We start from the raw sequence: 15,434 nt of genomic DNA on the forward strand, positions 1-15,434 counted from the left end.
CTGGCAGTGCAGCTCGGTAGAGGTACTCCCCTCAAAGTTAATAAGAAACTAAGAAATTAATTTCCTGTCAGGTGCCTCTGCCCAGCAGTGGCAGCCCAACACTCTGTGTCATTGGGAGTGTACTTAAATCGCAAGGAAAGTTATAACAAGGGGGCTGGTGAGGTGCCAGGTGCAGTGCTCGCCCTTCTGGAAGTTTCCTGGAAGAGGGATGGAGACGTCTGTGCAATCCCGAGCAGGTCGGGGGTGCCAGCAACACAGCCTGGCCCTGGGACCATTGCTTCCAAGAAGGTCACTTTGGTTTTTACTTGACCATGGTTTGTTGCAAAATTCCTGGCACCAGCTCAGCTCGGCCACGTCTCGGCTCCCTGGCGCCTCTAGAGAGAACGAATATGCTAAAGATAGTGAGGCGTCTTCTCTGGGTGACCTCGTGTGACCTTGCAATCCCGTCAAGTCTTTGGTTCTGCAGAAACAACTGTCAGATCGGGAGTTAGTCACCTCCAAAGACAGAAACCAAAAACCAAAACAGTGACCTTGTTCTTTCTGTTCATGACCCTGGAGGTATGGGGGGAGGAGGAGGAAGCGGAGATTGGTTTTGCTCGTTAACTCATTATCAGTGACTGAGCGGCTACTCATGGCTGGGAACTTGTTGGGTGCCCTCCATTACACTTCCCTTAATCCTCTCAATGGCTTTTGATATCCTCAGGTAGATGGGAGGATCCCCATTTTACCTGGGAGGGATACAAGGCCAAGAGGGGTTAAGTAACTTGCCCAAGATCACACAGCGTTTGAAGTGGCCAAGGTGAAATTTGATCTAACTTCCACTTGGATGTGTGATTCCACTCCACATCCAAGTTCTTTCCATCATCTGGCTGCAGGCAAGATAACAGATTGGTGTATTCTTTCTATCTTATTTGAATTCCAAAGTTAGTATCCGCTATTGAAAACAGCTGACTTCATTATAACCCATCATTGACTCCTTTCTTTAACAAATAACCAGCAAAACAGAGCGTTCTTTCGGAGTAAGCCTTCCACCACCTGAACTTTGACAACTTTCTCCCTAATGGGTTTCTCCCTGTGAGTATTTGATCTTGGCCACCAGCATGAGCCTATCCTGGTGATCTCAAAATGCTGAGGTTTTTCTTCTGTTAAGAGATTGAATCTTCTGTTCCATGTGGAGGCTTATTCAACATTAAAGCGTTCCTGAACCATTTCATTTATTCAACAAATATTTTCCAAGCCCAGCTCTGGGCCAGATGCCAGGCTCAAGGCTTAGCAAGCCAGACAGATGTGGAGCCGCCATCATGGAACTCGGCCCTCACAGGCCATTGTCCTTGGCTTTCCAGACTGAACCTCTGTGCTTTCTTGTTTCACGGCTGTTTTCCTGAATGCTCCCTGTGAGCCCGAGTCTGTCCTGAGGTCTTCGTCCCTATTCCCTGTGCCTGAATCCTTTCCTCTCCCAGAGCTCCCCACAGCTGGCTTCTTTTTATCATCTCAGATACAGCTGAAGGTTCCATCCTCAGAGGCCTTCTCAAGCTCGCTGGCTAAATTCTCCACCCACCCCCATTTTTTATGCTCATACCACTTCATGCCATCCAGAACCACCTTATTCTTTATTCCAATGTTTATAGCTCGTCTCTTCCATGCTCTTTGAGGGCAGAGTCTTAGACTTGGTCACAGTAGACCCCAAATGTAGGCCAGTCCCTGGTATCTTGTGGTTCTTGAGAGCTAATCTGTTGAATGAATGAATGAATGAATGAATGAGGGAATTAATGAACACCCTGCAAAGCAAGTGCCACAGTTACCCCTACTCTATAGAAGAGGCAGCTGTTCCTCTAAAAGGCTGAGAATCCCACCTCAGAGCTACCTGCAGGAGAGTGGGTGAGCTGGGACCCCAGTCATTTCAGGTTAACTGAAGGGAAAGCCTGACTTCCCATCAGCTCCACACACTGAGTCCTTTCTCCTAGAAATGAAGGAAACACAAAGAAGTCACTAAGAAGGCACCTCGCCCTCAAGCATCTGAAACCCTCAGTTGGAAATTTGACTGCAACCTCTGCCTCCTGGGTTCAAGGGATTCTCCTGCCTCAGCCCCCCAAGTAGCTGGGACTACAGGCATGCGCCACCACACCCAGCTAATTCTGTATTTTCAGGAGAGATGGGATTTCACCATGTTGGCCAGGCTGGTCTCAAACTCCTGACCTCAGGTGTTCCGCCCGCCTCGGCCTCCCGAGGTGCTGGGATTACAGAAGCTCTTTTTCAACATTGCCTTTTAGATCCCCTTTCCCATCAGCTTCCTCCAAAGGAGCTGCTGGCTTGATTTACCTGCAGCCACCGCAATTAATTGCTGTCCCCTGGTAGCTAACATCTCTTAACAGCTCCATAGCAACAGTGGTTTCCAAATGCCAGAAAGTGTTTTTTCCAAGGGGACTCTATCCTCGACGCAAAATAGAACATTTTGAGTGAAATTTAAACACAGTTTTTGAACGGTGCTGTTCTGATTTCTTCACACTTCACAAATGCTTTCTTTGCAAACATGGGTGTCCCAGTTACCCTGGGCTGGTGCCAAGGCCCTCAGCCCAGCTTCTGTTTTCTCAGCTTCAAGGCAGCCGTGGTAAGACCTAAAAACAAACAGGGAGCGAGTGCTGTGGGTCTCCCCGCTAAGGGGTTGCCTTGCGCCTGTGCAGAGATGAGGACCACAGTTTGTCTCCCACACCAGCTGTGATCAATTGGTGATGACAACGCAGAACCCTGCCTATGCGATTTCTGGGACCCCATCTGAGCTTAGTGGGAAAGAGTGCCATCCGCCATGGTTCCAGTGCAGAATTCCAAGGGCCAAGATGGGGAGTAGGGATTTGTGTATGAGTGGTTGGTTGGAACAAATCATCCTGGTATACCACTGCTCCCACAGGTGGAAACAGAGAAACTGGGTTAAAATGAAGACTCCAGTAAATTCGCATGCAGAAGTACCCAGAAAGGCCCTTGCCATGTCCTTCACTCTGCCTTGGTGAAGGTGGAAGAGATGAAGGGAGAGGGTGATGGGTGGGTGGTGGGTGTGCTGGCCACCGACTGGCACAGCCCCCAGCACAGGGGCTGTCTCTAGTGACCGATCCAGGATGAGTGTCCCCATTCAGATGCAGTCAACCCACCACTGATTCAACCAACACTTGCTGACTGCCTATCAGGGAATACATTTCCTTCTGATGCACACTCTGCTCTCAGGAAGTCTGGGGTCCAGAGAGGGAATGGAGGTGCCAGCCAGCCTGAAGATCAGTGGAAAGAGTGAGGCTGGCTGATGCTGCAGGAGAGACACAGAGGACTGTCAGGGGAGTCCCAAAGGGAATGAAATTATTTTGGTTGGAAGGATAAAGGGAGGCTGGAAGGACAGTGTGACGTTGGATCTGGGTCTTGACAAGTAGGTGGAATGTGGAGAGATTCCAGGCCTTGGGAACAGCGTGGGCAGGGCCAGTGGCAGAGCAGGCTGAATGGTCTGGTTGACTGAGCCAAGAGGGGTGAGAAGGGTGCATGGGAGGTGGATCCAGCCGATCATGGAGGCCATTGGGATCAGGAGTGGGGTTGCATTCACAGGAAATGGGGAGCCAGGAAAGGTTAGCAGTGGGTGACGTCATCAGAGCTGGGACTTGGGAAGATGGCTCTGAGAGTTGGATGGGAGTGCCTGGCTCAAAGGCAGACCAGTCAGGAGGCTGATGCCAAGGAGCATGGGGAAGGCAGTGAGGGGAGACTGGGGCGGTGGCCTCAAGGGCCAAGAGGAAAGCAGGATGCCTGCCCGTCTCTCCCCTCCTTCAGCTCTGCTGGCATTAGCAGCGCCTCAGACTTGGTGGCCATGGAGTCACAGTGGCAGGACTGCTCTGTGGCCTGATTCTGCCCCCATCGGGCTGACAGGGTCTTGGCCTCTAAGCAGGATGCTTAGAGTTGCCCCTGCCCTGAGGAAGCTGGATGAAGCCAGGCCGTTCTGTCGCATCATCTGAAGAGGAGTGAGTGGGGTTGCCAGCTCCCTGCTAGCACAGATGCCCACCCCACCGTTGTCTTCAGCATCTGCCAGGAGAGGGACAGTTTGAGGCAGTGTCGGGGTTCACGAGCTTGCTCTCCTCTGCCATTCGCAATGGGCTGGCATAGGGCAGCCTCACTGCTTGGCTCCAGCCAGCGACTTCAGGATGTGGCGATGAAGATGGGGTCTGGATGGGCGTTGGTATTCAGGATGTCGAGCCCCACTGGTCTGGGGGACCAGTTGGCGCTTCCTGCAAAGGCATGTGCTCTGGGAAGGGCCTGGCCTGCTGCAGCAGCTCTGCAGAGGGGCCGGCCCCAGACTTGCCTATGTCATTAGTATAGCAGGTCCCGTTATTACCCGAGGAGGCTTACAGGTTATCAGCGAGCTCCAGGAGCCACTGGAGAAAGGAAGAAGATAAAGAAGGATTTAAAAAGAAAATAACAAAAAGAAAAACTGTATTTTCTAATCCAAACCTTGCCCTGCAGTGGCTTTGTTAACCCCCAGTCACTCCTTCAAGACATAAACTGTTGAGAGCCACAATTACTTCAGTGATTACACGTTATCTTGTCCTACCAAGGTATTAAAGAGGAACTGGGGAACACATTAAAAAAACATACAGCCCAATTTAATCATGATTCCCTCTAAAACAATTGCTGGAATCTCACCATTACAGATGCCAGAGCATAAAAATCCTGTAGATGCTTGATGGACCGGGCACAATTCATCCTCTGCTGCCTCCACGGCCAGCCCATTTGTCAGTCAAGGGAGAGCTTTGGGGTTTAGGTCTTTAACAGGATTGAGTGCAGGGGCTCCCCAGGTGCTCCTCCAGAGCAGAGGAAGGGTGGCCCCATCCCAACCTCCCAGATTTCCCTGCTTGGATCACCTGCCCTGCCATCACTACCACCAGGAAGACACTAAACAGAAAGCCCACCAAACATCTCGGGACCCTACTCATAGTCAAGGTTGTGAAGAAGTTTGCTGGCCGGGAAGCAGCCTTGTTCTGAATGCCACTTGTGGTGAACAGCAACCAGCTCTGCTTTTCTGCAAATTCTCTCTGCAAAGCGAGGGAGGTGTAATCATTTGCTTCAGAAGGTTCTGAACATCAGGAAGAGGCAAAGCTGAGAGACAGCAGAGGGTGGGGGTCGGGTGCAGCTCCCTGTCCTCACTCTCTACCTGTCTGCTGCGTGACGTTCAACTCAGAGTCTCTCTTGCTTCAGTTTTCCCAATTGGAGATGGAAGGGGGTTGATAAGTTGGCCTGGACAATCCCTAAGTTTCCTCCCACCTTCACTACTCTCTGTTCCAAGAGGAGTAAACAGAAGGGTTTAGGAGACCCCTGACTTGCAGGACCCTGGAGGATCTTTCATGCACAAATTAAAATACATAAAGCATCCAGGAAGAGGACAGTGCTTACTAGAGAAGGGGCTGGAGGCACTGGAGCTCCTCAAGGGCTTGCAGGTCACTTGATGCCTGTATCATCTGGATGAGGACTAGAAGTGATCCCATTGGCCCAAGGGACTCCTACCTATCCAATGTGGCAGGATGTGGATGGGGTGTCTGTCTCTTTAATTCATGGAGAGTTATGGGATATTTTTCGGGAAAATGGAGCTTTGTTTTCTTCCAGAGTTTGGAAGATAACCAAGAATTGTCTCAGAGATCCTGTTTTTATGTTTGGACAAGAATGGCTGGTGTTTAGCTCATCGTCTGTTGGAGATCATGATGCTTCCTCGATGTTTGAAAAGAATTTAACTTTACCTAGATGGGCTCCTATCTCAAAGAATCACGCTTCCCAAATAAGCAATATCTGAATTAATTTGATGTTGCTCCACATGGAAGTTCCATACGATCCTAGGGAAACTTTGTCCTTAGCAATAGTGTGAGATGACATAACACTGGTTAGAGAGGTCAGTCAGAATAATACCTGGCCCTTCTGAAGGTTTCCCATGCCTCGGGCACTGTTCAAATGCTGTATCTTGTTTAGTCTTCACAACTACCTCAGGGAGCAGGCACTACTGTTCTCTCCATTGTATGGATGAGAAAACTAAGGCACAGAGATGTGATTGCCCAAAGCTCACAGCTAGGAGGTAGCAGAACCCAGACTCGAACCTAAGGCAGTTGTCTCTGGAGCACACACTCTCTACCACTCTGCTTCCTCAGCATCAGATAGACCTGGGCTTAATGGGCAGGGCTTTGATGGACTACTTAATTCCTTACGTTTTAGATTCTTTATGTGTAAAGCAGATGGGGCCATAACCAGTTCTACCTTGTGAGGTTGTAGTGAGGATTAAACAAGCTAAGTCCCGGGAAGTAGTTAGCACTCAGCACCTGGAGCATACAGGTCTGAAGAAATGCTAGTTCTCAGCAATCATAGCGGTGGGGGTTATTGACACCAGAGGGTCATCTGAATTGTGTGGTGGAAAGAGTGACCGGCTTAGCCGAAAGAAGATGTGATCATTTTTTAGGAACTAAGGCTCATGGGCGATGCAACAAAAAACTCGACTTGAACTGACTTTGGGGGAGGAAGAGATTTGGGGGCTGGAGTTGCTGAAAAGTCTTGAGATGTGCTGGCCTGTGTTCCATCAGTTGCATCGAGGCTTTGTGTCTTCTCCCCTCAGCCCTGCTCCTCGCACCAGCTCCCTTCTCCTTCTCCATGTGCTGGCAAGAGATGGCTTCCAGGAGCACTAGATTTCATTCTCCCAGGTTCGAGTTCAGCAGGAAAGAGCACCCCTGCCTCCAAGTGACTCCAACCAAAGCCTAGTGATTAGCACTGATTGGCTCTGGTGGAGCCATGGGTCTCTCTCTGAGCCAGTCGATGTGGCCCAAAGAATGCGGCTTGGCCAGCCTGAGTGACAAGCTCCACCCCTGGACTGAGTTGGAGAGGTGGCTGGATTGCTAAAGAAAACTTGGAAACTCTTATCAAAAGAGCTAGTGCACCAGAGTTGTGTCCAGCTCAGCCTCCCATGAGCCACGTGGCCGTGAGCAGATCATGTAGCACCTCTCAGTCCAGCAGGGATGGTGGCACATGCCCAACTTCCTTCAGAGCTATGGAGGGGAGCAGATGGGCAGGAAAGGCTACAGAGCACATCAGTCACTCTAGAGATGCCTCAATGACTGTTTGCTGCCATTGTCATCTGATGGGCTTGATTCACTGCCTAATGGGGCACAGTTCTGAGCAGGCACACCAGCTCTGGGAGCAGAAGTGGGGCGCACGTGCTTGGAGAGGATGGAAGAGACAGGGGAGGGCAGCAGGCCTGGCTTCCAGCCATCCAGGAGGACATGGCCAGTCTAGGCTGCAGGCAAGACCTCTTTGAGGCTGGTGAGGAGGCCATGTGCCTATGGATTTAGCTCCTGGGAGGGACAGGAGGCCAGAGGTATGGTGACTGCAGCCCTCTGAGACCTGATTGCCCAGCATCTGTGCTGTTCCACCCTCTGTCTCTGCTGGGCCAGGGCTGCATGCCCTGAGGAGGACCTTTGCCCTACAGGAGTTCCCTGTGCCCCTGCGAAAGGCCCATGGCTTCTTGTCCCAGGGGTGGTCGGAGCAACTCTTGCAGCATTGCTAATAAATCAAAAATTAGTTCAAGGTGAGAGCAGGAGACAAACAGGACAGGACACCAACCAACAATCTCATCCAAGCTCAGGCTCTGCCAACTGCAGGACGCCAGCAGCCTGCATCCCTGACAGGTCCCTGGCAAGAGAGAGAAGGATGGTTGGACGCTGAACAGTCCAGCTGACACTCGCAGCCCCAGATTCCACCCTGGTGGGGGCACCGGCCATCATGGTGTCTCCTAGATTTTGTGGTCCCAAAGAGAGATGGCCCCCAGCATCCCGATCTCTTGCACAACTCCTTATGGATCAGCCATCCGGGAACTAATGTCACCCATTTTAGAAAAAGCTCTTTATATTTTTCAGCCCATGTCGCCTTGCAATAATGAGTCTCATACGTTGACTGCCCGCTGTGTAGTTTGATTGTGCTAAAATTACCTCCCTGAGCTCCAGAGTGGGGGAACCCGTATTCTTAGCTTTCATGGATCTAGAGTTAGAAGCAACTTTCACCTCTTCTCCCCTTTCTGAAGACTCGAATCACATTTCCTCTCCACTGTTATCTTTCTGGACCGGAAAGCCCTTATCTTCATTTTCCTGGAGCTGCCTGCCCCTCCTCAGTTGGTGCTCCCTCACCCCTGCACTCCCTAGTTCAGACCCAGCTCTGCAGCAAGGACGCCTCGGCCATTCTGTCTCCAGTTCCCAGGTCCTGCCCTCCTCTCCAGGCTGGGCCCTTTCTGGTCCCTGCAACAACTGTGGACCAGTGGCTTCTGTGGATCCTGGGAGGTCCTCTCTCGGGGGGCCTGGCAGTGGCAGCTCGAGCTGCCAGCCTCCGTTGCCAATTTGCTTTACTCATCCTGAGCCTCTCGCCCTGCACGTCACTGCCCTGGGATACATCTGTAGCTCCCATACCCTCTGACACTGGCTCTTTTTCGTTACTCATTAAAATTTAGTGTCATCTGCAAACGTGGAGATTTTATCGGACATGTCTTCCCCCGGGTCATTTATAATGATTTTAAATAAGGCCAGCCCGGGCCCCCACGCATACGTGCTGTTGGGCAGCCAGGTCTTGCTGCGCAATGAAAAGTCCTCCCCTCCCGGGCAGCGCCCCTCCAGGATGGCTTGACCCCCCTCTCAGCCTTTGGGTGGGACTGTTTCAGAGGCCTCTGGAAAGTGCAGGCAGACGGGACCCTCTGTCCCCTCTTGAGGTACATGCATCTTTATCTGCTCAGCGAGAGTGGAGAACTCCCTTCATCCAGCATTCTCTGGGTGTCTAGGATGTGCCCAGGATTGTGTCAGGCATGATCTCCCACCATAAATGTGTTTTTCCTACACTACCTTTGGGCTAAAGGAGGCAGGGCAAGCCAGCCCCTGAGCCGGCATGGTTCCCGGAACCCCGCACCAGGTGGAAATTGTTTAACTATATTCCCATGACTGGAAAATTCTGGTAATTGTGTAACAGCAGCAGCACTCAGCAATTACCCAGGGTTTTTCATCTTCAGACCACTTTACCCACATTAACTAATTAAGTCTCCCAGCCTCCCTCCAAAGCAGGGAAGGGCTGCCGGCCTGACTCCTGCTGGCGCACAGGCTTGCGTAATGAGGGCAGCCATGGGAAGGTGCTGCAGGGCCCCCAAGGGCAGCCTACCTCTGCCCTCGCCTGTAGGCCCTCTGAAGCCCTTGCCAGCCATCGCTCAGAATCCTCCAGCCCTGCTGAGCACTGACAAGGAAGTGGGGAGGTGTTCTGTGTGCCTGCCACACTCGGCCGCAGTGGGAGATCCCTGGGCCCAGCACAGATTGCAGGACCAAGCCCCCAGAAGAGCACAGTTGACTACTGACCCTGCCTATTACTGGGGCACCAGGGCCCCTCTTTCAGTTCCTACTCCCTCCCTTCTGTTTTTGCTTATCCTTTAATAGCTGCCAACTTTGGGGACCTAGATCTGTACCCCAGTTACCGGGTGCTCAGCTCCAGGGTCCCTGAAGGCTGTTCCCCACTCCCCTGCACACCCCACAGAGGGTGTTCTAACTACTGTGGGCCCTTGATGTGGAGACAGGGACATCTGCAGCCTCGGTCCTGCCCTGAGGAGCTTACAGACCAGCCAGGAGCCTTCCAGCCACATCCTTGGTCCTCCCAGCTCCCCACACCTCACATGACCCAACCGGGCTCCCTGGACCTACTTTTGCTCTGGCATAGACATGAACTGGGCTGCTGCCACCCGGGGCACTGAGGCTGAGTGCACAGCCCTCCCATGAAACATCCAGTGAGCCCCACAGAGCCCTGGGGCAGTGGTCTGGAGGTGTGAGATCATGACTTCAAGCAGGGCTGGCACCCAGAGACTCAGCCCTCAAAGGCACTCTCCTTTCTGTAAACAGGGATAGCAATACCACTTGCACCTGTGGGTTGTAGAACTTGAATGTGGAGCCCGAGACACAGCTGACACTCAGAAAGCAAACTGTGAAAACAGAAATGCCCACTGGGAGGTATGTGCTGTGGGTCCAGGCATGCTCCCACCCCTGAGTGGCCGTGGAATGCCACAGTACTATGCATTGGAGCCATCAGAGGCAGGGAAGAGAGACCCAAGGAGACAGCAGCCTGCAGGGGCCGGCAGATCCTGGGAGACCTGAGCAGCAGGCGCCCGCGTGCCCTGGCCCTTCTCAGGGAGCATCCTTCTTGTGCTTCCGTCCATCCTCCAGGCCTCTCTGATCCTCCCCCTGCCTCCTGGCTACCCTCAGTGGGTGACAGTGGGGATAGAACCCAAGCCTGCCAAGGCCTTCATGATCAGCCTCCTTTCTAGTGGAACCATCGTCCCACCTCACACTGCTACCCAGAGCAGAGAGGACAGGGGCCCAGCTACCTGGGGCAGCCAGAAGGTGGGTGAGAGGATTTTGCTCAGTCCTGCAGCCTAGTGACACCACAGCCCTGTGCCACCCAGTGTCGCCCAGTGTCGCCCAGTGCCGCCCAGTGCCGCCCTCTATCCCGTCCCTAATAAACCCTGCCCTTCTCCCTCCCAGCCTTGCACACCCGTTTCACAGGCTCCTACCCTCGTTGTTCATTAAGCATCCAGGTGCAGGGAAGGCTGTGCCTCTGATGATGAGGCTTATGGGACATTCGGAATATGTATAAATGGTGCTAATATGACAAATGCAAAGATCGAAGGAGCTTGTGACGCAGGCAATGCTGCTTCCTCGCCCGTCTCCCTCCTATCCGGCTGGCGGCAGGCAGGCCCGCCCCCCGCGCCCCCAGCGGCAAGTGGGGAGGTGTGTGGCACTATTACATGCTATTATGACTTTCTGGGTAATGTATACATTTTCACTATCACACGGCCTCTCTCCTTCATTTTTCATGAGAACTGGCACGAGATTAATGACTGAGCCCCAGAAGAAACGGAACGCCATGCCACTCTGATTTATTGACCACTTAGCGTTGATGAAGCTGCAAACAAGAGTCAAACAGATGTTGCAGCTGCATTTTTCTTTATCAAAACCAACAGCTTTTTGCATTTTTAACCACTTCTTGCATCACCACCCTGCTTACTCCACAGAAAGGGGTCCTGGCTCCAGGCCTCCTCCTCCTCAGCGGAGATGGAGGAGCCGAGGCCAGGGCGGTGGGACCCTGCTGCCTGACACCCATTGGCCCAGGATCCACCCCTGGAAGCGGCCAGGAAAAGGATGTGAGATCCCCAAGGCTCTTGCTGTGGGTGACTTGAGTCCCCTCCGTGGGTCTCTGGGGAAGAGCTCACTGCTGCATCCTCAACCAACTCCAAGGGCTGATTGCGCACGCCCAGGCGTGGGCTCAGCATGCGGGAGGTGCAGAGCTCAGCTCCCCTCTGCAGCCTGGAGCACCTCCCCCACCTCCGCCTCATGCCCATTTACTAGCCAGTGTAAGTGACCTTACACATGAGCGCTGCTGGGGGCCAGGCCCGTCCTGAGCCCTCTGCCTGCCTCACCCCCTCCTGGCAAGGTTCAGGCTAGCACTAAAGGGCCTGCTTAACACAGAGCAGGCATTCTCTGCAGAATGTTCTTAGCCTCTCCTGTGCTTTTGGAGGAAAGGCCCTCAGCTTGTCCCCCGTCCTCTCTTTGTCCCTGCAGTTTGGGTGAAAGGTGCCATCTAGAAAAGGTTCTCAAAGAGATTGACTCTACCTCAGGCTCCCGGGAGATGCCCTTCCACCACCTTCAGCCTGAGAGTCCTGTGCCTGGCAGGGCCCTGGGAGTCTGGAACTGGGGAGGTCAGCAGCTCCAAATGCATTTCCAGGAGGCACAGCTGGGTTAAGGGACAAGCTGAACTTCCCTCAGAGAGGAAGAGCTGCAGAGGGGCAGAGAGCTCGTGGACCCCCCCAGATGCCACCCCTCCTGGGCCCCTTCTGGGGGAGTGGACCCCCTCCTCTTCCAGCCCATGCCTGGGATGGACACCGACTCCTTCCCCGCACCCTAGTCTCTGTCTGTCCCTCTAGAAGACATGCCTGGGGGTTCTCCAGGATTGGTCCTGAGACACTGAGTCTCCGGAGAGGAGACAGCCACCCCTGCACCAGCTCCCCCAGCCAAGGCCAGGTGCCCCCTAGCAGGCTTGTTGGCCCGTGTGCTGGAGCAGCTTGGCGGCACCCCGCTATGCCCCCGGTTTTCAGTAAGTAGGATGGAGCCCCTGCCATGTGGCTGCCCCGCAGACAGAGTCCCAGCCATCCGGAGCTCACATTGTGGCCAGGAAAACAGGCCAAACCCGAGTAGTAATTGAGCGGAAACTGAGAGATTAGTGCTGCAAAGACAGCGAGGCGGGAACCAGGCAAGGTGGGCACTGTTGTCAACGGGGTTGCTGAATGAGGTTTCCACAAGAAAGTGACCTGGGACCAATGTGGCATGGAGCGTGGCAGCCAGAGACCACAGCCCAGGGAGAGAAGCGGCAGATCTGGGGAATGGGGTGGCGGGAGCCAGGTGCATGAGGCAGGCAGCGGCCAGCAAGAAGCACAGGTGGCCCGGCCTGGAACCGTGGCAGGAGTGTGGGCCTGATCTCAGTGCCAAGGAGCCGTCCGGAACAGCCCAACCACGCCTGCTGCTGTTTGAAGGGTGGGTTGGGGAAGGGAGGAGCAGACGTGAGGACACCCGGGAGGAGGGCACACTCCCACGTGCGCAGGAGAGCAGGTGGAGGATCAGACTTGGTCATTGCAGGCAGGGGGTATATGGGAGGATTAGGCTTCCTGGGGTGGGAGAAATGGCAGAACTGGGTGATCGACTGGCCGTTGAGGGAGAGGGAGGGAAAATGAGAGGATGACTCCTGGGTTCCAGACCTGGGCAGCTGTGGGAAGCCTGGAGGGGCCAAGGGTGCTGAGCAGGAGGTCGGGAGGCGAGGTCGGCCATGGGAAGTCATGGGGATTTTGAGGCCTTCGAGGGGTGCCGTCAACAGGCAGGTAGGCAAGAGAGGAGAGGTAGGCTGGAGAGGGAAATCTGGGTGTCCTGGGAATCTGGTGGGTGTGAGGTCAGGACACTGGATGAGGCCACTAAGGAGGGAGAGAGGGAAAGAGGGAGAAAGAGAGCGAGAGAGAGGGAGGCCAGAGCCCCAGGCTGGACGCTGGTGGAGGAAGGGCCTCTGTACACAGCAAGAGGAGAGCTGGGACAGGCTGGGGCTGCCGGAGGAGGAAGGGGGCTCTAAGCAGCAGAAGTGCCCGCTGGAGGCTTAACTCTGCTCACCCTCTCAGGAAGCACGTCAGGGCTTTTTTCTGTCTGGGTTTGGTTTTGGTGGTGGTTGGTGGTGGTAGAGCGGGGCCTCTGTCTCTCCTGACGACATTCCAGCTGTTCCGAGGCCTGACCCTGCTCCCTGCAGCAGCCCCAGTGAGAAAGAGGCGCAGCTTCCATGCTTATGGGTGAGGAGCCTGAGGCACCAAGAGGGAGGAGGGATCCCCTCGTCCACGGCTCTTCCAGAAGGCTGTGGAACTTCTCTGAGACTTTTACTTATCCTTGGCTTCCTCTACCACCACCACAGTCACAGACCATGCCACGGGGCTCTCTCTCCCCAGCCTTTGGCACTGACCAGGCCTCCAGGAAAGCAAGGGCTCATCTCCAAAGGTCACGATCACTTTGGGGGGTGACCCCTAGCATCTCTCATGAAAACTCCATAGCCCAGGGAGGGGCTTCTGCACAAGCTCTTCTTCCCTCCCTGAACCCACAGGGCCTGACAGGGTGGTGAACCCCACGGAAACATCAGGGCAGCCTGGGCAAGACAAAGGCAGCTTCACTCCACAACTGTCCAGAATCAAGGATCCGGGCCGGGCGTGGTGGCTCACGCCTGTAATCCCAGCACTTTGGAAGGCCGAGGCAGGCAGATCACGAGATCGGGACACCGAGACTATCCTGGCTAACACGGTGAAACCCCGTCTCTACTAAAAAATACAAAACAATTAGCGGGGCACTGTGGCGGGCGCCTGTACTCCCAGCTACTCCAGAGGCTGAGGCAGGAGAATGGCGTGAACCCGGGAGGCGGAGGTTGCAGTGAGCCGAGATCGCGCCACTGCACTCCAGCCTGGGGGACAGAGCAAGACTCCGTCTCAAAAAAAAAAAAAAAAAAATACAGGGCCCTGGCGGGGTCTGTCCCCTGCCGTGACTCTCAGATCCAGGCCCAACCCGGGCATTCCTGCAGGCCGCCCTGCTGAGCTGGTCCACCTGAGCCCATCTCGCCACCAGCAAAGCAGCTCAGCAAGGACTCTGACACCGTTATGAGCACTCCATGAAACTGATACATTAGGACTCCAAGCTAATATATTTTTCTGCCAAAAACACCCAATAAAATGTACAACTAATGAATAAAATTGCAACATTGCCAAGAAGCGATGTGTGCCCCAAATTTCCAAAATACCTCCATCAGCCCATGTCTGAAAACCAGCCCCACGCCAGGAAATCGTTACTACTCAACTCTGGGCATTCCAGGTGCAAGAGCTCCAGGCCCTGGGATGGAAACCGGGAAGCTGCCTGCTCCTGCATCTCCTGAGCCTCCACTTGGTCTCCTGGAACTGCCAGGGGCTGGGACACTCTGCTAATTGTATCAAAACAAGGGAGAAAGGCAAGGCCCAGCATGGAGGCTCCCGGGAAGGGACCCCCCACCCCCGGTGTTGGGCAGGTGCCCTGAGTTGAAAGGGGTAGATCTGGATGCTACAATCCCTACATTTGTAGTTACTGAAGTGGGATCCACTGACCACTGGATCTGTGAGCCCTTGAACTGAAGTGTTGATATGCCTTGGGGTATGTTGGAGGATGGGGTGGGTATCCACTGCCTGCGTCAGGCTCTCAAAGAGATCTCATACCCAGAAAAGATGAAGAACCAGCCTTGCATTGTATCTTACCTTCCTAGCAACAACCTGTGTTTAGAAAGGCTTCCCGGCCGGGTGCAGTGGCTCACGCCTGTAATCCCAGCACTTTAGGAGGCCAAGGTGGGTGGATCACCTGAGGTCAGGAGTTCAAGACCAGCCTGGCCAACGTGGTGAAACCCCATCTCTACTAAAAATTAGCCGGGCATGGTGGCAGATGCCTGTAATCCCAGCTGCTCGGGAGGCTGAGGCAGGAGAATTGCTTGAACTCAGGAGGCAGAGGTTGCAGTGAGCCGAGATCATGCCATTGCACTCCAGCCTGGGCAACAAGAGTGAAACTCCATCTCAAAAAAAAAAAAAGGAAGGCTTCCCTGCCCTTTGTGGACCCAGAAAACTGAAGCCAGATGTCAGGAGAACACAGGTCTAGGGAGGGCACAAGCAGGAGGTCAGAATTCAGCCTAATTTGATTCTACAAACCTGAAATAAGCACCGGTGATTGTTGGACTGTCGTAGCTGCAGGGCATTGTCCCTGAGGTTGAGGAAATAAAGTTGATGTTCAGACAATTAAAACACAAAGCCAAATGCCACCCTACTATGGTAGAGG

At 53.9% G+C, this 15,434-nt stretch overlaps 1 protein-coding gene across 24 annotated transcripts in view, besides 2 other annotated features; it reads left to right on the top strand.

Annotated features, from left to right (window-relative positions):
* CAMTA1 (calmodulin binding transcription activator 1) overlaps positions 1-15,434 on the top strand; it is a 984,253-nt gene that overhangs the window by 836,079 nt on the left and 132,740 nt on the right. The window lies entirely within an intron of this gene.
* Positions 3,658-4,158: an enhancer, noted in NCBI's record as "H3K4me1 hESC enhancer chr1:7685250-7685750 (GRCh37/hg19 assembly coordinates)". NCBI's record gives its function as "activates a minimal SCP1, AML or CMV promoter by ChIP-STARR-seq in naive H9 embryonic stem cells {active_cell/tissue: H9 hESC(naive)}" and the evidence as "EXISTENCE:reporter gene assay evidence [ECO:0000049][PMID:30033119]".
* Positions 13,582-14,563: an enhancer, noted in NCBI's record as "H3K4me1 hESC enhancer chr1:7695174-7696155 (GRCh37/hg19 assembly coordinates)". NCBI's record gives its function as "activates a minimal SCP1, AML or CMV promoter by ChIP-STARR-seq in primed H9 embryonic stem cells {active_cell/tissue: H9 hESC(primed)}" and the evidence as "EXISTENCE:reporter gene assay evidence [ECO:0000049][PMID:30033119]".

Source organism: Homo sapiens, chromosome 1, assembly GCF_000001405.40.
Source record: "Homo sapiens chromosome 1, GRCh38.p14 Primary Assembly".
Lineage (NCBI taxonomy): Eukaryota > Metazoa > Chordata > Mammalia > Primates > Hominidae > Homo > Homo sapiens.